Here is a 26,886-nt window from a genome sequence, read left to right as displayed (position 1 = left end):
TGTGCATCTGTACAATATCCAAAATATTTCCACCAGAATTAAATTTTGTTATTCCATTATTTTACTATAATATTTGGAGGCAAATGCATATTAACATAATCAGTTTAAACTTTGCAATACTAAGGTTTCTCTTTTATTTAGTACAATGACCCAAAGTTATAGAATTATTTGCCTCTGATTTCTTGGCAACATATGTATACTTTACTGAAAATTTCATCTACTTCATTCTTCATCACCCTACACTCACACAGAGAAACAAATTGATAATGAGAAATTGAAAAGGAATATGAAAGCTCAGTGCTGATTTTTATTTGGTTCATGTAAACCTCTAGAAGCTTAGCTCTATTAAGATTATCTGAACCTTTGTAATACTTTCTATTTGAAGCTATTTGCTTCCAACCAGTCTATCTTATATTAATTATTATTTTCAATTCATCAGATTATGTGGATGCAATGGCTGATAAGTTGAGATATACTTTGAGGAACACTGCTATGATAATCATGATAGAGGATGCATGGGTGATTCATAGTATTTCCAACTATGTCCAGTTATGTTTAGTGTTTGTGAATCACCTATTTGCCTACCTTCTCTAGTTGAGTAACTATATATGTAGGTAATTGAATCAGACTATTTTGCTACCAAGAATATAGCCTCTTCCCCGATATAAAGAGGCACCAATTACAGATTATTTACCTAATGGAGCATTTTAAATATGGAAGGTTATTAACTATTTACACTTGAGTCAACATTGGAATAAAAAGTTTTAGCTGACAAAATTATTTGCTAAGTGTGTACTTCCATCCACATTTGCCATATATTTTAAAGAGCAATAAGGAAAGTCTTTTAAAGTGATGAAATTCAGGGCTTTCATTTAATTGATGTTTTTATGTGACATATTTATATTAATAATAAAATGCAAAACAGTGAACAGGTAATATTTAATCTTTGTTCTTCCTTTTCTTAAAGTCAGGAAGCCAGAACTAGTCAGTCCTATCAGTAAAAGCAAAAGTAATATATCCAATGACATTTGCTTAAATACATTACCAAGTCCTGAGAAAGGTTCTTACTAATCTGGGAATAAATGTCCTTATCTTGATATGTGTATTAGTCCGTTCTCACATTGCTATAAACAACTACCTGTGACTGGGTAATTTATAAAGAAAAGAGGCTTAATTGACTTGCAGTTCCACAGGCTGTATGGGAAGCATGGCTGGGGAGGTCTCAGGAAATCACTGTGGAAGGTGAAGGGGAAGTAGGCACGGCTTACATGGCCAGAGAAGGAGGAAGAGAGAGCAGGCAGAGATGCTACACGCTTTCACACAACCAGATATCATGAGAACTCACTATCATTGGAACAGTAAGAGGGAAATCTGCCCCTATGATTCAGTCACCTCCCACCAGGCGCCTCATTCAATATTGGGGATCACAATACAACATGAGATTTGGGCAGGGACACAGTGCCAAACTATATCGTTCTGCCCCAACCCCTCCCAAATCTCATATTGTTCTCACATTTCAAAATACAATCATGCTTTCCCAACAGTTCCCCAAAGTCTTAACTCATTCCAGTATTAGTTCAAAAGTCCACAGTCCAAAGTCTCATCTGAGACTAAGGCAAGTCCCTTCAACCTATGATCCTGTAAAATCAAAATGAGTTACTTCCAAGATACAATGAGGGTACAGGCATTAGCTCAAAAGAGTTAAATCGATCAGAAGAAAGGGGTTACAGGCCCTGTGCAAGTCCAAAACCCAGCAGGGTAGTCATTAAATCTTAAAGCTCCAAAATAATTTCCTTTGACTCCACATCTCATCCAAGCCACAGTGATGCAAGGGACAGGCTCCCAAGGCCTTGGGCATCTCCATCCCTGTGGCTCAGCAGGGTGTACAGCACCCTTAGTTGTTTTCATGGGCTGGCATTGAGTGACTGGGGCTTTTCCAGGTGTATGGTGCAAACTGTCACTGGAGAGACCATTCTAGGCTCTGGAGGACAGTGGCCCTCTTCTCAAAGCTCAAGTAGGCAGTGCCCCAGTGGGGACTCTGTGTGAGAGCTCTAACCCCACATTACCCTTCTGCACTGCCCTAGTAGAGGTTCTCTATGCAGGCTCCCCCGCTGCAGCAGACTTCTACCTGGACATGCAGGTGTTTCCACACATTCTCTGAAATCTAGGTGGATGCTCTCAAGCCTCAACTCTCACACTCTGCACACTTGCAGGATTAACACCACATGGAAGCCACCAATGCTTATGGCTTGCACCCTCTGAAGCAACACCCCAAGACACATCTGGGGCCTTTTTAGTAACAGCTGGAGCTGGAGTGTCTGGGACATAGGGAGCAGTGTCTTGAGGTTGTGCAGAGCAGTGAGGCCCTAGGCCTGGCCTCCGAAATCATTTTTCCTTCCTAGACCTCCAGACCTGTGATAGGAGGGGCTGCTGCAAAGGGTTCTGAAATGCCTTTGGGCATTTTCCCCTTTGTCTTGGTTATTAACATTCAGTTCCTTTTTACTTATGCAAATTTCCGCAGACAGCTTGAATTTCCCCCACCACCCCGAGAAAATAGGCTTTTGTTTTCTACCACATGGTCAGGCTGCAAATTTTCTAAACTTTTATGCTCTGCTTCCCTTTTAAATATAAGTTCCAGTTTCAGATAATCTCTTTGCTCATACATATGACCGTATACTGTTAGAAGAAGCCAGGTCACATCTTAAATGTTTTGCTGGTTAGAAATTTCTTCTACCATATACCCTAAATCATCAGTCTCAAGTTAAAAGTTCCACACATACCTAGAGCAGGGGCACAATGCTGCCAATCTCTTTTTGTTAAAGCATTGCGAGAGTGACCTTTATTGCAGTTCCCAATAAGTTCCTCATCTTCATCTGAGACCACCTCAGCCTGGATCTCATTGTCCATATCAATATCAGCATTTTGGTCCAAGCAGTTCAAGTCTCTAGGAAGTTACAAACTTTCCCTCATCTTCCTGTCTTCTGAGCGCTCCACACTGTTCCAACGTGTGCTTCTTACTCTGTTCCAAAGTTAGTTCCACGTTCTCATGTATCTTCGTAGCAGTGCCCTACCTCTCGGTACCAATTTTCTGTATTAGTCCTTTCTCGCATTGCTATAAACTACCTGAGATTGAGTAATTTGTAAAGATAAGAGGTTTACTTAACTCAAAGTTCTTCAGGCTGTACAGGAAGTATGGCTGGGGATACCTCAGGAAATTTCCACCTTCTTGTGGAAGGCGAAGGGGAAGCAGGCACATCTTATACCTTACATGGCCAGAGAAGGAGGAGAAAGCAGGGGGCAGTACTACACACTTTTAAACAACCAGATCTCATGAGAACTCATTATCATGAGAACAGCAACTGGGAAATTCACCCTCATGATCCTATCATCTCCCACCAGGCCCCTCCTCCAACACTGGGGAACACAACTCAACATGAGATTTGGGCAAGGAAACAAATCCAAATCATATCAATATGCTAGAATGACTCAAACAATAAATACGACAAGAATATTCCTCCTCTGTATTGACGCTGTTCAGTATTTTTCTGGAGAACCTAGCCAATATTATATGACGAGAGAAAGTTACATGAAATATATATTGGAAAGCACAAGATAAATTATTTGAAAATAATATGATTTTCTCATTATGTAAAATGATCTCAAAATTAGGAAATGTACAGTGGTAATAAAATGATACTCAGCATAGTTACTTTTTGTTTTTCAGTTTCCACAAACAAGTGAGATCATGCAATATTTTTCTTTCTGTGTCTTGCTTATTTCACTTAGCCTAATGTTCTTCGGCTCCATCTGTCCTGTGGCAAATAAGAAGATCTCCTTTTTTTGTGTTTCTGTTTTGAGATGAAGTCTCACTCTGCCACTCAAGCTGGAGTGCAGTGGCTCACTGCAACCTCCACCTCCCCGGTTCAAGTGATTATCCTACCTCAGCCTCCCAAGTAGCTGGGATTTACAGGCGCCCACCACCACACCCAGCTAATTTTTGCATTTTTAGTAGAGATGGGGTTTCACCATGTTGGCCAGGGTCTCAAACTCCTGACCTCAGGTGATCTGCGTATCTGCCTGCCATGGCCTCCCTAAGTCCCTAAGTGCTAGGATTATAGGCATAAGCCACCACACCTGGTCAAGATCTCCTTTTTTTTTTTTTTTTTTTTTTTTTTGATGGAATCTCTGTCACCAGGCTGATGTGCAGTGGCACAATCTCGGCTCACTGCAACCTCCACTTCCTGGCTTTAAGAGATTCTCCTGCCTCAGCCTCCTGAATAGCTGGGATTACAGGCGCACACCACCAAGCCAAACTAATTTTTGAATTTTTAGTAGTGATTGGCTTTTACCATGTTGGCCAGGATGGTCTCAATCTCTTGACCTTGTGATCCTCCTGCCTTGGCCTCCCAAAGTGCTGGGATTACAGGCATGAGCCACCACGCCTGGCCCAAGATCTCCTTTTTAAAGGCCAAGTAATATTCCATTGTGTATAACTATATAGAGAGAATAAAACAGTGGTTACCAGGTTGGGGGTGGAAGGAGGAAATGGGGAGATGTAGGTCAAAGTCTATAAAGTAGCAAATATGTGGGATAAACAAGTTGAAAGATCTAATATAAAACATGAGGATTATAGTTAATAGTGTGTTGTATTCAGAATTTTTACTAAATGAGTAGATTATAGCTTCTCGTGGTCAGAGGGTGGGGGAACGATTATGTGAGATGATGGATATGTTAATTTCTTTCATTATGGTTTCATTATGGTAACCATTTACATGTGTATCTTATAGCATCATGTGTATACCTTAAAACACACAATAAAATTATTTTTAAAAAAGAGAAGTTCCAAAATCTATGTAGTTTTCTTAGAAGTAAACCGCACAAGAAAGTATAAGCTTTTTTTTATAGGAAGTTTAAAGTTGTATATAAGTACATAAATAAAGACATGAGGAAAGGAAGTCACATATGATGAAAATGCTAGTTCTCCCTAAGTTAGTTTGTACATTGAAAGTAACTTCAGTCACACTCGCATGTTCACTGGAGCACTATGCGTAATAGCAAAATCGTGGAATCAAGTTGTGTCCATGAGTAGATAAAGATAATGTGGTGTGTATATATAATGGAATACTAACGAGCCACAAAGGAATAAAATTATGTCTTTTGCAGCAACATGGATGAAACTGGAGGCTATCATCCTAAGTGAAATAAGTCAGAAACAGAAAATCAAATACTGTATTTTCCTATAAGTGGTAACTAATCAATGGGTACACATGGACATACAGAATTGAATACTCAACATTGGAGACTCCAAAAGATGGGAGAGTGGGAAGGGGGTGAGAGATGAAAAATTACCTATTAGGTACATTGTAGACTATTTGTGTGATGGGTACACTAAAAGCCGAGACTTGATCACTACACAACATATCCATGTAACAAAATTGCACTTGTACCCCTTAAATCTAAAGTTCCTGAAGTTACTTCAATCAAGATCTAGATGGTCCCTGACTTAAGATGGTTTGACTAATGATTTTTCAACTTTATGATGGTGTGAAAGCAGTGTGCGTTCAGTAGAAACCGTACTTTGAGTACCCATTTAATCATGCCATTTTTCACTGTCACTACTGTGCTCAATGCATTACACGATATATTCAGTACTTTAGTTTTTATAGAACAGGCTTTGTGTTAGATGGTTTTGCCAAAGTATAGGCTAATGTAAGTGTTCTTGCATGTTTAAGGAAGGCTAGGCTAAGCTATAATATTTGACAGGTTCAGTGTATTAAATGCAATTTTGACTCACTATATTTTCTATGGACAATGGGTTTATTGGAATGTAACCCTGTCATAAGTCGAGGAGCATCTGTATAATTACACACTCACATGCCCACAAACATGTATGTATGCGACTCTCTGTGTATCTATATTTGTATTATTTTAGAGGATATAACAGAACCCTAGCAATAAATAGAATTTATCTCAGATGGTAAAATGAAGATAATTGTATTTTAAAAGTTACAGAAGTATATATTAACAAATAGGTGACAAGAAATAATCTAGAGAGGAGCAATAGTAGGAAGTAGTTACTATTTCTACTATTCCTACTATATAGTAGCTGAAAGGAAAGGGGGAACGGAGTTCAGTGAAAGCTGCACCAATGGAGGGAATGTAGTTGTTGGTAGAACTCAGATACTACATTATGCAGCTCTGGAGCAGGGAAATAATAGAGAAATTTCCCCAGCTTTCTCTTTCCCTCTTCTTTCAATCTCCAGCTGGTACTTCCCACCAGCTTAATGCAACTGGAATCTAGCCAGCTAATGATCACAGGAGATACAGTGTGAAAGGGTCAGCCACTTAGAGAATAAGCAGAGAAGAAAGGGTGTTTATGTTCAGGGTGAGCACACTGAACATAAATCACATGAATGGTAAGAGGGATTCAGTTTTCTAGATAATTCTAAAATTTGTTTAAATGTAAATGCGTGAGTACAGTTAAGAAATTATTTTCAAACAGGTGATTTGCTTTAGTAGATTTTATAACATACTTAACATAGTATGACATGATAGAGAAATAATTTAATGGTGTGGAATAGATATTTTGACAACATTCCCTTTTATTTAGGTAAATTTAGTACACAATTAGGGTGACATTTCATGTCTCTAGAGATAGAATAGGTTAGCTAATAAAGCCTTCAACTGTGGAAACCCAAGGCACAACAAATACTAAGATAACTTTCAGATAATGATTGAATGTGAATAAACATTTAAATACTTTATTACAATGTAGAAGAATATTACAATAATATTAAGGTGATATAAAACCTAGAGGCTGTAAAATACCGACAAATTTACCAACACAAAATTAAAATATTTTCCATTGTGAAAGACCATTAAACAGTAATAAAACCTATGATGGACTGCAGAATGACACTAGTAATAAAAAATCAATAACCTCAGTATGATAACACTCCTACAATGAATATACAAAGTATAATATTTTAAAAGTGGCTACATATTATGGTCAGGACATTCACTTGGGAAAATTAGAAATAGCCCATCAAAATAAAATTAAGCTTAACTAATAAATAAATGCATAGTACAAATATCTTCTTATTATGAGGGTTCATGTAAATAGGCCCTGTGTTTCTTTTGGAGGAAACACAACTTGTAATATTTTAATCAGACAATTTAGTATTATCTTTCAAAATATGTAATTTTACATATATTTGATCCTGAGGTTTCACATTTAAGAATTAGATATATAGTAATACTCATACATATCTACGACAAATGTGTAAGGATGTTCATTGCAGCGTTGTACACAGTAGCTCCAGTATTTTTCATGCTATGGACTGTTAGGCAGATATATCTCTACCATTGGACTATAGGCACCATAAAATCAGGGTCTAGGTTTGTTTGTGTTTGTTTTTATTTTTGCTCACTATTTCAGCTGCAGTGTCCAGCATAATCCTCGACTTATGGCAAGTGTCCAATAAATAGTTACAGAATAAATAAATGGATAAATGAATACATGCATTACTGAAATTAATTTTGAAGTTCACATTGTATATATACATGTGTATATACATTTTAAACTTGAAATTTGCTGAAAACATACTTTATGCCAGGCATTGCTCTAAATGCCTTACTTGCACTTACCTTCTTGGAAAAGTCTTTGCCTCATTTTACCAATGAGGGTATGAAGAAATGAAGAAATTAAGTTTCTTATCCAAATTCATAATACCAGTGAGTGGTAAAGCTAAATTTTGAATCTTTACTAATTGAGCACATCTTAAGAAAGTACATGCATAGACAGTGTATATGTTTAATCTCATTAGACAGGCAGATGAGTATGATAAATGGATAGCTAAAAGAATGGCTGAATGGATAGATGCATGGATGTATGGATGACATAGCATCTGGTGACAAGTATTACTTCTAGCTAATGGGACTGTGGTGCTGTAGAGATATGGGGTACTTTCACTATTAACTTTAAATGCGTCTGTACTGTTTTAGTTTTCCACTACAATAAGCATGTATGGCTTTTGTAATAAAATGTTTAAAAGTGAGAGATTAAATCCAGACTTATGAAATTAAAATATCAAAGACAACTAACGGTTGAACTCTTGGGGCCAAAACCGTCAATGGGATGTGTTTTCTCTGAGGGAAAGCTTTCCTAATCAAGGGGCACGTTCCCATTGAGATAAGAGTGGAAATGACCCATCTGGTCAATCCAAGATCAGAGCCCATATGGGGACTGGAGCTATGATAAGGAGTCAGGCTCCATAGGATATAGTAATTGAGATAGTTATACCAAGCCCCTGGGTTTCTGGTCATCAGGAAAGACAGGCCCCTGCTAGTAGAGCTCTACCTGAGGGAGAGGTATTTGAGAGAGGCCGACATTTCAGAGTCAAGAAGAACTGGAAGCTATACCAAGAAAATGGGTTATGTGGTATTTAGCATATCAGTTTTAACCCTCATCCAGCCACTGAGAAAAGGAAAGAAGAAATTTTAAAATTGCAAATGGACAAAAGGAACATTCAGTAATTAAAATAGCAGTAAGATTCTACGCAAAGCCTTTCCTTTTCTCTATTTAGTCTTTGAAGTTGCTAATATCTAGTCAAAGGGAGTTGCTTTCCAAATATGTAATGTTTGCATGCATATTATAGTTATATATTAGTGATCATATTGTTTATAAATGTGTGTATACCATCCTAGGTTTTTGTTTCTTTATTGAATCCCTTTCTCATATATCTGAGCTTAAAAAGCATTTTTTACAATTATCATTATTTGGTAGAATCCTACCCACCGCTGACTCATAGTTTTAGTGAGATGACAAGGAATTCACACACTTGAATCTTTCAAACCCCCAGGTATGCAGACGCTTAGCACAAAATTTTTGGAAGCTATGCTTCCAAAGTTCTAAGGAGTCTGCTTTTCCTATCCTCAGTCTGAGAGCACTTGAGTACATTTTTTTTTCTGTAGATATCAGTCAATATTATTTTTGAAAATACGTTTTTGTAAAGCACGGTGCTATTTTGTAGTGTGTATGCCAAAGTTTAGAACAATGAATAAAACATTAGTTTTCCTGTGTCTTGAGTATTTTCAATCTGAATTTAAAATGTACTAACTTTGTCATCATCACTCATAGGCTTCTTGATTAACCTGCTAATGCTCTCTAATTTGGAAATTAATGCTTCTTTCCCTATCACTTAAAAATAATCTGATACAGTTTCTAGAGCATGAGATGTTCTTCAAATCAAGTCTTATTTTTGGAAATGTGATCAATAAGAAAAACTTCTTGCAATACAATAGGAAGCTGAGGTGCATTATGCTTAACTTTATCCAAGGTCACAAAATGAAAGAACTGGGAGCCAAACCAAGGACTCTACTTTTTTTTTTCCACTTTAATCAGACTGTCACTTATTGGTTGTATGACCTTGGGCTGTATTCTTAACTCACAAGAGAGTGGTGAATTTAAATGAAAAAAAAACATAATAAAAGTTCTTGTATATAATTGATACTTGATAAAAACTAATTCTATACCAAACTGAATCTCTTTTGCAGAATTTTGTAGGGAGAAAAATACAGGCTGCTCCTGTTCCTTGCTATGTGCTTTCTGCCCCTTCAAGCAGTGCTCAATTTTCAACATGTGTCTTACTCTACATTCAGGGGGTGTAGACCATGAAAATGAACCTTTATTCCCAAAAGGTTCTCTCTCCATTCATTTACTGATTTAACAAATACTGAGTACCTACTACTTCTCAGTCATTGGTAAAACAATCTAAAGGAAGTTCCTGCCTTTGTGGTTTTTATATTCTTATATAAAAAATAAACATAATAATGACAGTTTGTGACAAGCAATGTAAAGGAAATCAATGTAAAATAAAGGGAAAGGGGTTGGGCTTCTTTAAATGGGATAGGAAATGCATCTCTGAAGAGGTGCCATATGAGTTAAGACCTAATGGGTGAGAATGAATCAAAAATGCAAAAAGAGAAATTATTTTAGGTAAAAGAGCACCAAATATGAAGATCAAGAGGTGTAAAATGGCCTTCGGTATTTGAGATGCAAAAACAAAACAAGACCAATGTGTGAAAGAGAAAGAGGGATGACATTAGAGTGCTTTTAGCTAAGTGTGAAGGATTGGGTCATGCTGTACTTTACAGGCATGGAAGGCAGTGTCTTTTAACACATACATCAAATTCTATTCACTATTCAAAAAATATACTTTAGTATATACATTTTAATGAAAATCAATCTCAGCTATGTTTTACGCATTCTTAACATCATTTATTACATTCTCTTTTATAAAGTTATCCCTTATCATCATCATATTTGTGTTACATGGTTTTGGATGCTTACTCTCTTTTTCACTTGTACCTTTCTCCATCAATGCTTCACATTTGATTATCTTCACTTCTGTAAATTTCTAAATTGCATTTTTTTCACATTGGAAATTACTTGACATCCATGGATATTATTGTATTTGTAGTTGGGAGGTCCTAATTACAATGGTGGAAGCCAGAAACTCCAAACTCAAATGAAATTTCATAAGTACTGTCAAAAGGAAAATGTATCTTTGTAATTTGAAAATGGGTTAAAGTTTGCTACTTCTTGATTGGGTGTGTTTCATCAGCATGCCTCCAGTAGTGCTTAGAAAATACACAAATGCGTGATGTTCGTCCACTGGTTTCAGTTTTCAGTTAGAGTACTACTGAAAACTTTGGATTAGTTCAGGAAAACTTAATTCGCCATCAGTTATTTTGTCAGTTGTTGAAGTTTGTGTGTGATGGTGTTTTGCTCAACACTGAACCCCTTATTCTGATGTTGCGTATGACATATGATACCACCATGACACCATCCCACATAAATGTTTTGTGCTGAGAGAGTCACATCAGTGTTGTATGCCATCTGGTTTGTCCAATGGTCCACTCGTTTCTTCCTTAGGAATTAGGAAATGGAGCCATTCTAATTATAAAACGTGATTAATTGCTTGGTGAATTGGTATCATGTCTGACACATGGTAGGCATTCCACAAATACTTAATGAAGGCATGAATGCAAGCAAACCTATGAATTACAATTATGTGCCAATTGGAAGGAAATCAGGAAAAATAATAGATCGTATATATTGAGCATTTACTTTGCATTCATTTTCTCTGTTAACATCATCCCTAATTATTTGCAAGATACTAATATGACTCATTTTATAGATAAAAACTGGGACAGGGAAATTAGTGAATTTTACCACAGTCCCTTACCTATTAGTGATAGGGTCAGGATTTGATCAAGGTATTTTTGCCTCAACAGGCTAAGCTCTTTTATATGTAGTGGGTCCATTTTTACCATATTTTTTTCAAAAAAAAAAAAACCTGATCATTTTGTACAATATCTGCGTTAAGCTAGTCATCATTGAGTAATTTGCCCCAGGACTGCCCTTATACCATCAGGCATATTTTGAAATCCCAAAATATACCAGAAAGAATAATAACCAATTAAATTTATGTCACATGAAATAAACATCTTTATTCTGGCCTCACTGTGTATCAAGTATAACTTCTAACACTGTAAACAATTAAGGTTCACAAATAGACTATTTTATGTTAGCGAGGAAGATAAGGGGTGGAGTTACTTCTGAAACTGACTATACTTTTTCTAGCAGCAGAGGAAAGAAAAAGTCAATTTGGTTAGGTCAAAAGCAAAGCACGAAAACCGCAGGTGACAATCACTTAAGCAGAGTTAAATGTCACTGAGTCAAAATACTTTCATCTCAAATGTAAACCCTAATAGTTCTTCCCACAACAGGCATGTCGAGAGAATTGTAAGAAAGTACAGATGTTTTTCTATCTGTAGTCTCCCATGCTGACTGAGTAGCTTCCATTTGTTATGTCAAGTTAGTGTCTGTTCTCCTGGGTTTAGAAGTTACATACCAAATATTTGTTCTAAGGATTTAAATAGTCAAGGATGTATTTTTCAAATAAAATATATTTAACATATGTAAACTTAGGACAATTGTGACGGAAGAGACAATTTTGAAAATTTCCTGCATTTGGAAATTGAAAATTTAAAGATAGAACTTTTCCTGTTGATTAGGGCACACGGCAGAAATTTGATTTTTGAAAAACTTTTCAACTGAAACACGTCTTATTTAAAACTCCTAAAGTCACAGTTGGTTGCGAATTTTCATTTAACTGACTTTTCCCCACCAGCTTCTGTGCATTTGCTCTGAGGCACTCTCAGGATGTTTGGTATTAACACTGCAGAGCTTCCATTCTGATTTAATTTCCAAAAACTATCCCAGCGAAGAGGGCTTTTATGGAAGGCAATTCAATGAAGCAGGGATACAGTGGCAAGTGGTAAACTGAGAATTTTGAAATTATTTATTCGTAACTTCCTTTCCCATTACAGTCATTCTTTCATGAGAACATATCTCTGGGATCATTTATTTACCATTGTATTATTAAAGTCTAAAATATAGCCTGGCACAAAGTAACTCAATAAACGTTTGTGGAGTATATTTTTCTGTGTCTCATATTTTCAATATAGATTTTTTTTTACCCCCTCCGAGACGGAGTCTTGCTCTGTTTCCCAGGCTGGAGTACAGTGGCGTGATCTCGGCTCACCGTCATCTCTGCCTCCCGGGTTCAAGCAATTCTCCTGCCTCAGCCTCCCGAGTAGGTGGGATTACAGGCATGCACCACCATACCCGGCTGATTTTTGTATTTTTAATAGAGACGGGGTTTCACCATCTTGGCCAGGCTGGTCTCTGAACTCCTGACCTCAGGTGATCCGCCCACCTCAGCCTCCCAAAGTGCTCGGATTACAGGCATGAGCCACCATGCCCAGCCATAGTTTTTACAATCACTATCATTACTTCCAGCTACCATTATTTACTGGATTGGCTGCATGATAAGTTCCATTTGTATTGGTAGGTTTAGGATTTATTGATTAACAGAACGCTCAAATAGTTTTCAGTGTATCAGTCTTCTAAAAGCATCTGATTTTCCTTTTTTCCCTGTTATGCTCTAGGCAAGCATTATGCATTTTGAGCCACTGTTTTTTTCTTTTTTAATTTTTTGTTTGTTTGTTTTTTGAGATGGAGTCTCACTCTCTCACCCAGGGTGGAGTGCAGTGGCCCGATCTCAGCTTGCTGCAACCTCCTCCTCCCTGGTTCAAGCGATTCTCTAACCTCAGCCTCCCGAATAGCTGGGATCACCTGGGATTAGAGGCGTGTATCACCATGCCCAGCTAATTTTTACATTTTTTTTTTATTATTATACTTTAAGTTTTAGGGTACATGTGCACAACGTGCAGGTTTGTTACATATGTATACATGTGCCATGTTGGTGTGCTGCACCCATTAACTCGTCATTTCGCATTAGGTATATCTCCTAATGCTATCCCTCCCCCCTCCCCACTCCCCCCACCCCACAACAGGCCCCGGTGTGTGATGTTCCCCTTCCTGTGTCCAAGTGTTCTCTTTTTTCAGTTCCCACCTCTGAGTGAGAACATGCAGTGTTTGGTTTTTTGTCCTTGTGATAGTTTGCTGAGAATGATGGTTTCCAGCTTCATCCATGTCCCTACAAAGGACATGAACTCATCCTTTTTTATGACTGCATAGTATTCCATGGTGCATATATGCCACATTTTCTTAATCCAGTCTATCATTGTTGGACATTTGGGTTGGTTCCAAGTCTTTGCTATTGTGAATAGTGCTGCAGTAAACATACGTGTGCATGTGTCTTTATAGCAGCATGATTTATAGTCCTTTGGGTATATACCCAGTAATGGGATGGCTGGCTCAAATGGTATTTCTAGTTCTAGATCCCTGAGACATTTATTCAGCCAAAAAACACATGAAAAAATGCTCATCATCACTGGCCATCAGAGAAATGCAAATCAAAACCACAATGAGATACCATCTCACACCAGTTAGAATGGCGATCATTAAAAAGTCAGGAAACAACAGGTGCCGGAGAGGATGTGGAGAAATTTTTATATTTTTAGTTGAGACGGCTTTTCACCGTGTTGGCCAGGCTGGTGTCAAATTCCTAACCTCAGGCGATGCACCTGCCTCGTCCTCCCGAAGTGCTGGGATTACAGGCATGAGCTAAAGCGCCCAGCCTGAGCCACTGTTTTCTACTTGTAACAAGATGATGGTGATAGTTTTCTGCTAGTTACACCATAAGCATGTTGAAAAGCGTAATGGAAAGTGCAAAAGATAAAATTGTTTTGTGTTTCTCCTGGATAAATATAGGCCATTACTTTTTATCGTTATTAATTTTATGATGAAATTCAATCATCTTCATCAACGCAAATTATTTCCATTATGACATTTTACCGTCCTTTAATGAGAAGCATTGTTACTAAATGGTAAAAGCAACTGCTTGTATCAGTGAATGAAGTGCTAAAAATGGATTAATTAAGGAGTACTTAATTTAGCTAAGGCAGAACATATCTTGCAGAATGTTAAAAAATTTAACATGGGAGGAGTTGTGCAAATTTTAATTAAAATGTTGTATATCTATTGTATATAGTGACTTGTAAGTAGAGAATACATGTATGTACAATGCAGTCAGTGCTGAATGCCAAATACAAAATATTAAAAATAACAATATCATGCTTTAATGAATTAGTCCATTGCCATGATATGGTCTACAACTTAGAAACTCCAGCATTTAGATATCAGATGATATTATAACATAAATCTCTTCGTATGCAAGCCTCAAAAAATAATCCACTTTACTTCCAGCACTTTGTCCTTTTAGAATATCACATCAATGAATTAGGTTATTGTTTACAACCATAGGTTTTGGTTGTGCCAACATATAGGCCTTTCTGTTTTCATATTTTGAGCATTCTGGCTATGGCTAGTTTATGACCAGAAGTGCCTTCTTTCCAGTTTCTCTATTCCTTTTCTTCTCAGTGAATTTATTTATTTTTGTTTCCTAATACAAACCCTGTGGGGAGGTTGATGCTCATCATGGTTTCTAAATGACATCCTCTCACAGTTTTTGTTGTTTAATAAAACTCTTAAAAGACTGACCAACTAAAGCTTTGTGAGTGCACATTTATACCTGCTATCTTTGAAATCTTGCTTGTTTTCAATTACACATGCTATGCATTATAATTCTGTATTTCCATTCCTGCCTGTCCCTTGGCAGAAACTTGGCCTGAAATTTAGACAGTAGAGCCTCTTCTTTAGATTTCCCAGCGGTGTTTGAAGGTTACACCCAGCGACTGGCTAATCGGACTTCCCTGAGGTTGACTGCCCAAGATTAGTTTTGTTGAAGGCACTGCTTTCATCTTACTTACTCACATTGACTTTCTTGGGGTGAGGGCATGTTGAAAGCAAACTTTGTGCGATACTTGGTCTTCAAATACACTGAGATAGTATCTGAGAGAATGAGGTTAAGGTACCATGGCAGTGTAGTGCAATGACTGGTTTCTAATCTGATTTTGACTAGCCTTTGAATTTGCCTTCAGACCGCCATGAGGTTCAACTTCTTTATTCGAAAAATGATCAAATTTCGCTAAATGATTTATTTGTTCCATAGTATCCTCAAATATGAAACACTCATCAGAAACGGTGTTATTGTTCATAAAGTAAAATCTCTAGCAGTATTGTGAGTTCTCACTATTTTCATTCTGAGACGGCTTCAAAGATTGGATAAGCAATTATTAAAATCTGGTGTCCGTGAGCATTTTATGTAGTAGAGTCTTGGTGTAAAATTACGTTCATGTAATTGTTAAGTTCTTACTTTGGGGATTCAGCCACTGCTCTCATTTCATAAAATCTTAATGTCGTGTAATAAGAAGTATAAATTACATCCCATCATTTTCATACTCCTCAAATACTTTATAGTACTCATTATCATACCATTGCCTTTAGTCACTGTCTTACATAATTCTCATCAATTTCTATGACTTTAACTGTCCTCTGTATTGAGTTTCTTAACAAATACTTAGGTGATCACAGAGTGCCAGGAATTGGCCTTAGTGCAGTCATCATAAATGAGGATTACCCCGAAGTCCATAACATTTATTTTGATTTCCCATAAAAAGTAATGTTTATAATTATGGGGTGGCTCATCTGCTATATACTCATAATCTAACATAGTCTAAGTATATTCTATAGCACATGACAATCACTTAGCACATATGGAATAAGTGATAAATGCTTTTTCCTTCTAAGTAAATTCTTCTGGCTTCCTGTTAATAGTATACAAATGGTCTCCTACAACTAGGTTTGTTTTTGTGTTAATGATAGAAACAGCAAAAATATGACAAAAATGACAAAAAAATGCAACATAGTAATGGTATTAAGGTTCAACAAACTTTACAGTTTTACTAAACATTGGATTTGGGCTTCATAACATCTTAAATAAGAGGGAATGCTCCTGGTCAACCACAGTCTCTGAAAGGAGCGTATTCTTAGGTTTTGCGGGGGGAGTCAGAAGTCCAGCAATCTAAGAACATTTCAGATTGGGAATAGGATGATGATAGCTTTAGAAGCGTGGTAACTCAGGTGAGACCATTGTTAATTAGTTTGAGAATTATCTTCATTGAAGTGAATCCACTCTGGCAAAGTTTCAGAAGGGAGTGTTTGCTGCTGGTTGGCTGGGGGAAGCATGATAAGAATCATGGAGGAACTAATTGTTAAATGAATAAATAGGGTAGATTGAAACTTTTGTTGGTGTCTACTTGTTACCATGGCTGCAGAACAATCAGTGTCCTCTTTCGTCCTCTTCCTCCTTTGTTTTATTGTCAGTTTATTAATCTTTATATCCTAAGGCTGTAGCACATAACTTTGTATATAGGCATTTCCAAAGACTGTGGAGTAAATGATTTGAAAATTGAATGAAGTCATTTTTGATCCATCTTAGAATTTTTGTCATTCATTGACTTGTTTTCATTTCCCCCGTACACAGTTGTACCTTAGATCTTGAACACTTTATATCTGGATTATGGTCCTAGCCTCCTATTTCTCTCAAGTTTTCCTCCAGCAATCCATTCTGTACTTAAAGAATTTACTTTAATAAAATTTTGATGGTGTCACCCTCTCATTGAAAAGTATTTACTCTCTAGTCTATTGAATGAAGGCCAGGTTTTCTAGTTTGCTGTTGATGATCCCTCAGTTTTCTATGTACAATCTACCAGTTTCATCTTAGTTTTCACTACTCTACTCTCTCTAAGACACACAAAGCCACTGTTGCCAAGACATCGCTAATGTGTCCCTACCTCTGCATGTTTATTCTACATATTCCCACTGCCCCGAATACTCTTCCCCATTCCCTCATTTCCAGCTATTGAAATCCTATGCATAATTAATTCAGTTTCCTATTTAAAGAGAATTGCCTTATCCTCCAATATTATATGATTTTAAAAATCTGAACATGTTAAACAACTGGTTGTGCCAATTAGAGGAACACATTTTAAATTCTGTTCAGCAATGCAATTACTTTGTACTTCTATTATTTACTTTCTTATTCCAAATTAGAAGCAGAATTCATGAATTTTCTATCTTTCAAATTTCCTGGATAATCCATTAAAATACTTTGAATATAATAGATTTCTTGAAAATGTATGTTGATGAAATTCAAAATATTTTAGAAGACCTAAATTCCTTTCTTCAAAAATTACTTATTTCTACCTACTGGCAGTTTTGAATTCCACATAATCTCAGAAGTGGGATAGTAATAGTTTGGGGCAAAATGGCAATAGTTTGGTTAAATAAGTGCATATTTATTGTAATGACTGATATTTATGAACAGCTGCATTTAGTCCACATGTTTTATGTAAATGAAATTTATTACAATGTTTGAAATTTTTTGGGGGGCAATAAAAATAATGCTTGGCCAATTTTTCACCATTTTTTACTTTTTATAATGGCATATATTTGAGACCAAACATACATGCATGTGTCTATGTATAACACAGCAGTGAATAGGCACAGGCTCAACCCTTTTTGTTTTCTCACATCATGGTTTTATTTAATATACTAAAAATGAAAGAGCTCTAAGTTATGCTAATCACAGGTACAGCTGACTAGTTACTAGTGAGAAGGAAGAACATTTTCTAGAATTTCAAGATACGGTGAAGTATAGTATCTACTATATAAGAAACAATTGGTCAAATATTTTGAAAAACAATTATCAAATGAATTGGAGATTTCTAGGCTTCAGAATTCCAAAGCTAAGTTTGTAAGATTATTAAGGAAGGCAGTGTTCATGCACAAAATATTATTTAGTTCTTCTTTAAAAAGTACTTGCAAAAATTACTTTGACCATCTGTTGATTAATAATTAAAGTGTAATAAGTTGAGCCATATGTGTTGTATAACTTTGTACCTTTCAGCCTTGTGCATTGAAATGTCTAATATCATTTGAATAAATGAATAAAACAATAAAACGGGAGATGATGTAACAGTCTGCTTATAAGTAATGTTTTTGGCCCTTATTCAAAATGTAGCAGACTAGCAGTTTCAGCATCACTTGGGAGACTATTGCAAATGCAGAGCTCCAGGCTCTACCCCGATCTATTGAATCAGATTCTGTAGTTTTAAAAGATCCCCAGGTGATTCATATGTACATTAAGAATTGAGAAGCACTGTATTGTTCTACGGATAGAAGTAGACCAAGGAACATTAATTTTTTCGTCTCTTGTAACTCTTTTTAAAAATACTTTAAAAATAGCTGTTCTGATTAATCATGGTTCTGATACTTGCAAAAGAATTGATGAAGTCACTTGTTCAACCTGCTTTTGTGCTAACGGACTTGAGACTTTACTCTTGGCTTTTTCACTTATAATCAGAACACCTGATCAGAATATACATACTGAATACAGATATCTTAATAGTAGTTAAGCTAAGATAAATTGTATGGCAAGGAAAATACATTGCCACATTACCTTGACCTCCTGCCAGGATTTATGTTTATCTTTTATCTTTGATTTTTATATTCATTAATGATTAAAAAACTAAAATTGCATACATTTATCATGTACAACACGATGTTTTGAAATATGTATACGTTCTGGAATGGCTACATTGAACTAATTAATACATGTTTTACTTCATATGCTTAGCATGTTTCATGGTGAGTATACTTAATATCTACTCTCGCAGCAATTTTTAGGAATACAATACATTGTTATAAACTAGGTTGTACAATAGATCTCCTGAACTTATTTTTCCTATCTAACTGAAATTTTGTGTCCTTTGACCAACATCTTCCCAACCCCTGCCCCACAGCCCCTGGTAAACACCATTCTACTCTCTACTTCTATGAATTCAACTTTTTAGATTCCATGTGTTAGTGAGATCATGTGGTACTTATCTTTCTGTGCCTGGCTTATTTCACTTAATATCCTCCAGATTTACACATGCTGTCTCAATGACAAAATTTCCTTCTTTTTAAAGGATGAAAAAGGATGACAATGAAATGCTAGCATTTCATAGTCAGAACTTATGTGTTAACATTTCTAGTACTAATGACATACTTCACATAAAGGATTACTTTACATCTTGGTTCACTGGAATGAGTGCAGTAAGTAAATTTTAATGCCAAGTAGCAAATGAATCTTTTGAAGGAGCTGCCACTTTATATGTGTTATTACAAAGTATTATTGACTTTAAATGCTGCGTTTCATTCACTTTCTGGATGTGGCAAAGGATATGAAGTCAGATCAACTTAATGTGCGGGACTTTTACATTTGTCTCTAATGTCTGAGAAGGAAAGTGATATTCTACTTTATCCCATGCACCACAATGTAAACAAATATTTTTAACATACACGGAATAGTAAAAATCATTATATGGTATTTTTCTGTTTAATTTATATTGTGGATACATGACTCATTTCAGCAGAGACTTATTTAGCTCTCTGCATACTTTAATATCAGCAACATTCAGTTAAAAGGTATCAGGTTTCTTTACTGAGAACCAAAGCGGTAAACCATTTTGTGTATTTGTTTAATTACCAGTGCACCATTTGAATTGACATGTTAATATAACTTTCCATTGGAGGGAAAATGTAATCTTTTATTTTTGTTTCTTATCTAATGAAAGCTACTCTGTTAGATGGGCTAGTTTGGCAATTTGACTTAGGAAAAAGTAATATGGAATGAAGTTTTTATATGAACAAGGAAAATAAATTAACTTTACTGCTCATCTCATTGGTCTGCCAAATTGGAAAGACATTTTAGGCCTCATTCTCATGTTCTAATTAGTCTCTGGAGGACATTCATGGACAATTCACTGTTCATTAATCTATCGTCTTCCTTTAACTTTGATTTGTTCATTATCCTTTTAGAGTCTCAAATATAGAAACCAAAAATTGATGTGTAGTGTTAATGTGCTTACAGATGTTGATACCACCTATCCAGATAAGAAGTCCATCTTAATGTACATCACATCACTCTTCCAAGTTTTGCCTCAACAAGTGAGCATTGAAGCCATCCAGGAAGTGGAAATGTTGCCAAGGCCACCTAAAGTGACTAAAGAAGAACATTTTCAGTTACATCATCAAATGCACTATTCTCAACAGGTAAAGTGTGTAAAGGACAGCTACTATTCAAGATGTTTTCTGTTTTATATGCATTTTTAGGTATTACGTGCACATATATATATAACTTATATGTATATACACGTGTATATATACAAAGCCTAATGTATGTATATGTACAAAAAGAGACAGACTAAACCTTTTCAATTTTGCTTCATTGACTACAATATTCATTTCAAAACATATTTTAAAAATACTATTCATATGTACCATATCATAGGAATATAGAACATAATATATTAAATTTCCATTGTGTAACACACAATGAAATGAAAGGCAAACTTACGTACATATTAAACTCTAAAATCTTCATCAACTAGAACAAAGAGCTAGAGAAAGATTAAAGGCAAATACAGTTTTTAATCATTAAAAAATACTTTATGACAATATGATGTACAAAGTCAGATTTTGATTATTCAGGATAACAATTTTGAAAATAGAAAAGTGTTTTAAACTATTTCAAATAAACAATAAAGAAAAACATGATGAAATTCTTCGTTACATAATTGTATAGAATTTAGTGGGGTTCTTCCATGACATTGGCTTGTTCTTTCTCTCAACAGTGGGTGGTTTGGATGTTTTCCTATGCTTTCTCAGGCACAAACAACAGTGAAGAAACCTTTAGCAACATTTCTGCTGAATGTGTGGAGAGCTCTTAGGCCAAACTCTCTCACTTTGCTGAGCTAGCTCTGTATTAGCTTATGAAATTTTTAGTCCTTTCCAGGGTATGGACCTGATGAATTCTGTTTTTATTTACTTTGGATTTAGAGAAAATTGCTTATGGATGCCTGTTTTTGCCGGATTGAAGAGTACCATCCCATATAAATGTTGGAGTTGTGTTACTTTGGAATCCTCATGGCTAAATAGCATGCTCATATCTTCCCAGATCATTTACTCTCCAACATGATATTAAGTGCCTTCATTCTGGGAGTATACCAATTTCGAATATCATTTATATATGTTTAGTATTAAACATTGAATCTCACCATTTCCATTTAATGTTCTGTTTTCTACCATGTTGGAAAGTAGTCCTTTCGGGTTACTTATGGTTTTTCCCCCTCCTCTCTATCCACTCCCCCAAACCCTTCTCTGCAGATCACGGTCAGTCTAGCACAGGGATATGAGAGAACTTCTTCCCCTAAGCCTCGATTCAAGAGCTATGCCTACACACAGGCTGCTTATGTCACCACCTCTGACCCTACACGGAGCCCATTTCCTTCACAGGTCTGTCAACATTTACTCTCTGTTGTACAAACCAGAGAACTGCTTCCAAGATAATCTAACACTGCTTTTACTTGCTTGAATTTTTCAGTGCCTTTTATCTCCTCGTGAAGAGCTGGTTTGTTTTTCCAAGTTTTATTGATTCCCTCATGTGATTCTGCTTTGTTATTGAGTCTTCTCTAGGTTTACTATACGTTGATTCTTCATAAATATGAATTCCCGTAATGGTTTCTACTTTCATTATGTAATAACCTCTAAGGTTCTCTTTGACAAAGGCTGCTAATGGTTATAAAAAACATGAGGCTCATGAAAAGTTTTATATATGTAACTTCGAAAAGTGTAGGTACATCTGTGAAAATTGCTAATTACACTATTTGGGGAGATTTTTCTGGATCTACGTAAAGGAAATACATACATTCTAAGTGAATTATTTTATCTATTCATTCTAAAATATATATTCTATGTAAGAAAAATATAACTGCAAGCTTCTTCATATGCTCTCCTTTAATTTTGCTAATTTAAACTTGTGTATAGCAGGCTCTGTAGTATTTATAAGAAAAAGTCACACTGAAACCAGGTCATATTCTCGGCAATGTTTAGTACTTTCTATATGAGGAAGACTCAGTGGAGTTTTCCACCCTTTCAATATTGTATGGAACCCAATATACAAGAAATAGCCTTATAAATGTTACAGCGTGGGAATGAAATGTGCTAGGATTGCTAGATTTGCAAGAATTACTTTTTAACAAAAATGATTTATTTTGCTCAATGGAGCCAATTCGAAACGTGCTAGAGGATGTGATTTTTATCAAAACTACACTATGAATGGGAGTTTAAAAATGATAGACCTGATCCTATCGGCTAAAAAATGTGTACATTTTTGGAGACTCAATTTTTTGTTAAGATAGTGGTGTGCATTTAATTAGTAATTTATTTGGCAGTTAATCGATGCATTAGCTGAAAATTCTAAGCTTTGAAATAGTTATGACCTCCATCCTTGGCTAGTTTACTTGCAAAGCTCTCTTCTCACTCTCTCTCATTCTGGACCTCTTGACTCTCCATCGACTCTCTAGACTCAATTTATCACCATTCCCTCCGTTGAAATCACCAAGACTTAAGGAATAAGTGCCACCTCCTAAGATTAAGGAGCATACACCAAGCAAAGATATAGGGGTTTTTTTCCCCCTCTCATTATCACTTTATTGAGCTGCCTTTTCTAGGTTTTCTCCAATGCCTATTCTGGTAGCACATTTTCACCTCATCACCACCTTCATTAAGGCATCGCTCAGGTATGACTCCTTAATGAAGTAATTACAAATGGACTTACATCTTGCTAGGCTCTGCTCATTCTACCTTTGTGTAAATATTACCAAATACATAATATGTCATAAATCACAGATAATTCAACAAATTCACTTACTTGTTTTATTTAAAATAAGCCATTCAAATAAATGTAATGTTTATCATTTAAAAAAGACACAGCACAAATCACAAGAGATGGGGGATGGGGAATGATATATTCTGTCACTAAAGGAAGCATATCAGAAGATGATGTTACATGTAGTTAGGTTTGATAAGTGTATGCCTTAATTATTCACACTAAGAACATTTATTTCAAAAGTGTCAAAAGGACTGAGCTTTCACTGCCCCTACAGGCTGTACCTGCTCTACTTCAAAGGAACTCAAGACAGGCTGGATCTGATTCCATCAGAAAGCTTTATTAAAGTGTTTACTTGCTGGTCTACAGAGAAAAATAACGTTCTCTATAAGAGGAGAGAGCCATGTGGGTGACTGTCCCCTATGGAAAACACGTGCATGCCCTCACTCCCCAGACACATCACTCTGCTTTAACTTCATTTATTTATTCAACAAATAAGTATTCTTAATCACAGAGACAAATGGCTTTTATTCAGCTCTCCTAACTTTCTACCACTGATGAAACATTTTTCTCAGCCTCTACACTCAGCGGGTTCTTCCTCTCTGACTATTCTGTGTCTTTCATTACCTGGCTCTTTCTGTTCTTCCAACTTCTTTAGCTTATGAAACTCATGGGAAATATCTTGGCATTCTTATCTCTGTACTTGTTCTTTTATCAACATAATTTAATAATAATTTAATAACCTGGCTTCAATCTGTATTCAATCTGTATGCAAATGATCATTGTATCTCTGTCTTCACCACTTCCAATCTTACTTGAGTTATAGCCACATTTCCAATTAATTTTCAACTCTTTGTATGTATCTATACCTTGATATCCACTAATATCTCAAACCTAGTATGTCTCCAAGTGAAGTTTATTATGAAGTTTCTTGTCCATTTTTTAATGTTATTCAGAGCCCTAATAATACAATTTTTTTCGCTTAATTTTGTCCATATAACAAGGCTACTCTCCTAAACTGCCTCGAAAAGATTTATGATATATTAATATTTTATATTTTTATGCTCATTACACACGTATTTCATGTTCCTTCAACCAAATTACATCACTCGTTCTCCCACACAGGTGCCCCAAAATTTTCCATATTAGCTTTTATGCTTCCCTTAGCTCAGAGTGCTTTTGTCTCTGTTTTAAATTGGCCAACTTAATTTGTATTTCTAGGCCTAATTAGTAAGTGGCAGAACCTGAATTCAAATTTGCATTTATTCAACTCCATGCCCATGCTCATTATAGTAGGGTGACGCTGCACTTTCTCGACGGTGATTCTTATATATTGCGTTACGCACACATAGAGCAGTATTCATACATTTGATTATTTAGCGCTTGTGTTTGAATCACCTATTATGTGCCAGGTACTGTTATTGAAGCAAGTGACACATAAACATGCAAAACAATCTGTGTCTGAAAGTATTCTAATTTTATTATCCTCCTGCTGTCTTCCCTCATGCCATACGTTTTTAACTCATTTAATAAATGGTAAGGCCGGGCGTGGTGGCTCATGCCTGTACTCCCAGTACTTTGGGAGGCCAAGGTGGGTGGATCACCTGAGGTCAGAGTTCGAGACCAACCGAACCAACATGGTAAAACCCCATCTCTACTAAAAATACAAAATTAGCTGGGTGTGGTGGCGCACACCTGTAATCCCAGCTACTCGGGAGGCTGAGGCAGGAGAATCACTTGAACCCGGGAGGTGGAGGTTGCAGTGAGTTGAAATCATGCCATTGCACTACAGCATGGGCAACAAGAGTGAAACTCTGTCTCAAAAATACATAAATAAAAAAAATAAATGGTATGATATGAGCCTTTTAATTTTATCTGTGAGCTTTTCTGTTTCATGATCCTCTAGCATAGCATATCTGGTAGCAGAATTGGAGGCCAATATTTCATCAAAGTCATTTCCCTCCTGATGCAGTAGATGTGACTTATGAAATAATTAGAGAAATCAAGGATTACCGTGAGGTTTCTTACTTAAGCAACTGGCCAAATAGAGTTGCCACAAACCAAGATGGGTGAGACTGTAGAAGGAACAGGTTTGGGAGTGAACGTTAGGATTTCAGTTTTAAACATATTAATCTTGAGGTGCCTATGAGGCTATGAATGCATGTAAAGAAGGGGTTCTAAGATCAGAGTTGAGGATAATAATTTAGAAGTCAACACATAGATGTTATTTAAATCCATCGGCCAGGATAAGATTGCCAAGGAAAAATGTGTAGACAGATGAGATCTCTAGATGTATATATGATGAGGCATCAGCAAAGGGGCTGAAAAAGGTGGCTAGAAAGGGGAGAGAAAAAGGAGAAGATAGATGTGGCATTCTGGAATCCAGAAGAAAGTGTTTTCAGAGAAAGGAAGATACCTAACTACATTAAATATTGCTGATGAGTTCAAATAACATGATGATTGAAAATTATTCAGTGAATTTAGGAAAACAGTAGGGTACGATGTCTGGGAAATCCTAATATATAGCAGTTACTACAGTGGAATTACTAACACTCCTATTCACTCTTAAAACTTTCCCATTTTGACCGATAAAGTTACATGCTCTCTCTAGTTTATATCCCCTTTAATAAGAACAATTTCAGTGGTGTGTGCATGTGTGTGTATTTGGAGGTGTTGCTGATTAGAGTAGGTTCAAACGACAGTAAAAGTGAAGGCTACCCTCATTGTAACACTTAAAAAAACAAACTACACCGCGAGCTGGGTGTAGTGGCTCATGCCTGTAATCCCGCCTCTTTTGGAGGATGACGCGGGGAGATCACTTGAGGCTAGGAGTTTGAGACCAGCCTGGCCAACATGGCAAAATGCTGTTTCTACTGAAAACACAAAAATTAAGCGAGTGTGGTGGCACACACCTGTAATCCCAGCTACTTGGGAAGCTGAGGCATGAGGATTGCTTGAAGCCAGGAGGTGGAGGTTGCAGTGAGCTGAGATCGGCCACTGCACTCCAGCCTGGGTGACAGGGCAAGACTCGGTCTCAAAACACTACCCTGAATAGTTGATGGCCACAGGGACAAAAACATACTTCTTTTAAATTAACCCATCCTGATAACTAATCATGTGTCTATATGTATTAGTTCGATTTTTGATGCAACAACTACAAACCTAGTGCCCCTAATCAACACATATTCATTATTTTACAGTTCTTTAGTTCAGATGTTTAAAACAGGTCTCATTCAGCTAACATTAACATATCAGCAGGGCTGCCTTCCTTTTGGAGGCTGTAGAGGAGAATCCATTTCCATGCCTTTTCTAGCTTCTAGAGGCTGACCACATTCACTGGCTCATTGCCCCCTTTCAACTTCAAAGCTAACAAGGGCAAATTGAGTCTTTCTCATATGACATCACTCTTACCTATACTCTTCTGCCCCCCTACATCTACTTTTAAGAGCCTTCATTATTACTTACTTGCTATGTGACCTTCAGAGAATTTCTTGAACTCTGGGCCTCAGTTTCCTCATGTGTATTATTGAAACTGTTTCTAACTCATATAGTTATTAGGAGTGTTAAATGAGATTAATTTTATAAAGAACATTGCATGGTATAAGCACATTGTAAGTTCTCAAAACCCGGCAACCAATATGATTACTACTTTAGATACATCAGGGGTTAGATAAGATTTTGTGGTCTGATCTGAGAAAATTTTTATGTTTTTATTAGCACTTTTATGAGAAGAGAT

General features: G+C 36.3%; 1 protein-coding gene across 17 annotated transcripts in view; it reads left to right on the top strand.

Annotated features, from left to right (window-relative positions):
• Positions 1-26,886, top strand: part of DMD (dystrophin) — a 2,220,167-nt gene that overhangs the window by 619,744 nt on the left and 1,573,537 nt on the right. For all 17 annotated transcript variants that reach the window (XM_006724469.4, NM_000109.4, XM_011545467.2 and 14 more), the window contains 2 exon segments: positions 20,352-20,533; positions 21,647-21,775. In XM_006724469.4, the coding sequence (XP_006724532.1) occupies positions 20,352-20,533; positions 21,647-21,775 (311 nt within the window).

This window comes from Homo sapiens, chromosome X, assembly GCF_000001405.40.
Source record: "Homo sapiens chromosome X, GRCh38.p14 Primary Assembly".
Lineage (NCBI taxonomy): Eukaryota > Metazoa > Chordata > Mammalia > Primates > Hominidae > Homo > Homo sapiens.
Note: the sequence above shows the minus strand (reverse complement) of the source record. Positions and strands in the feature narration are given on the sequence as shown.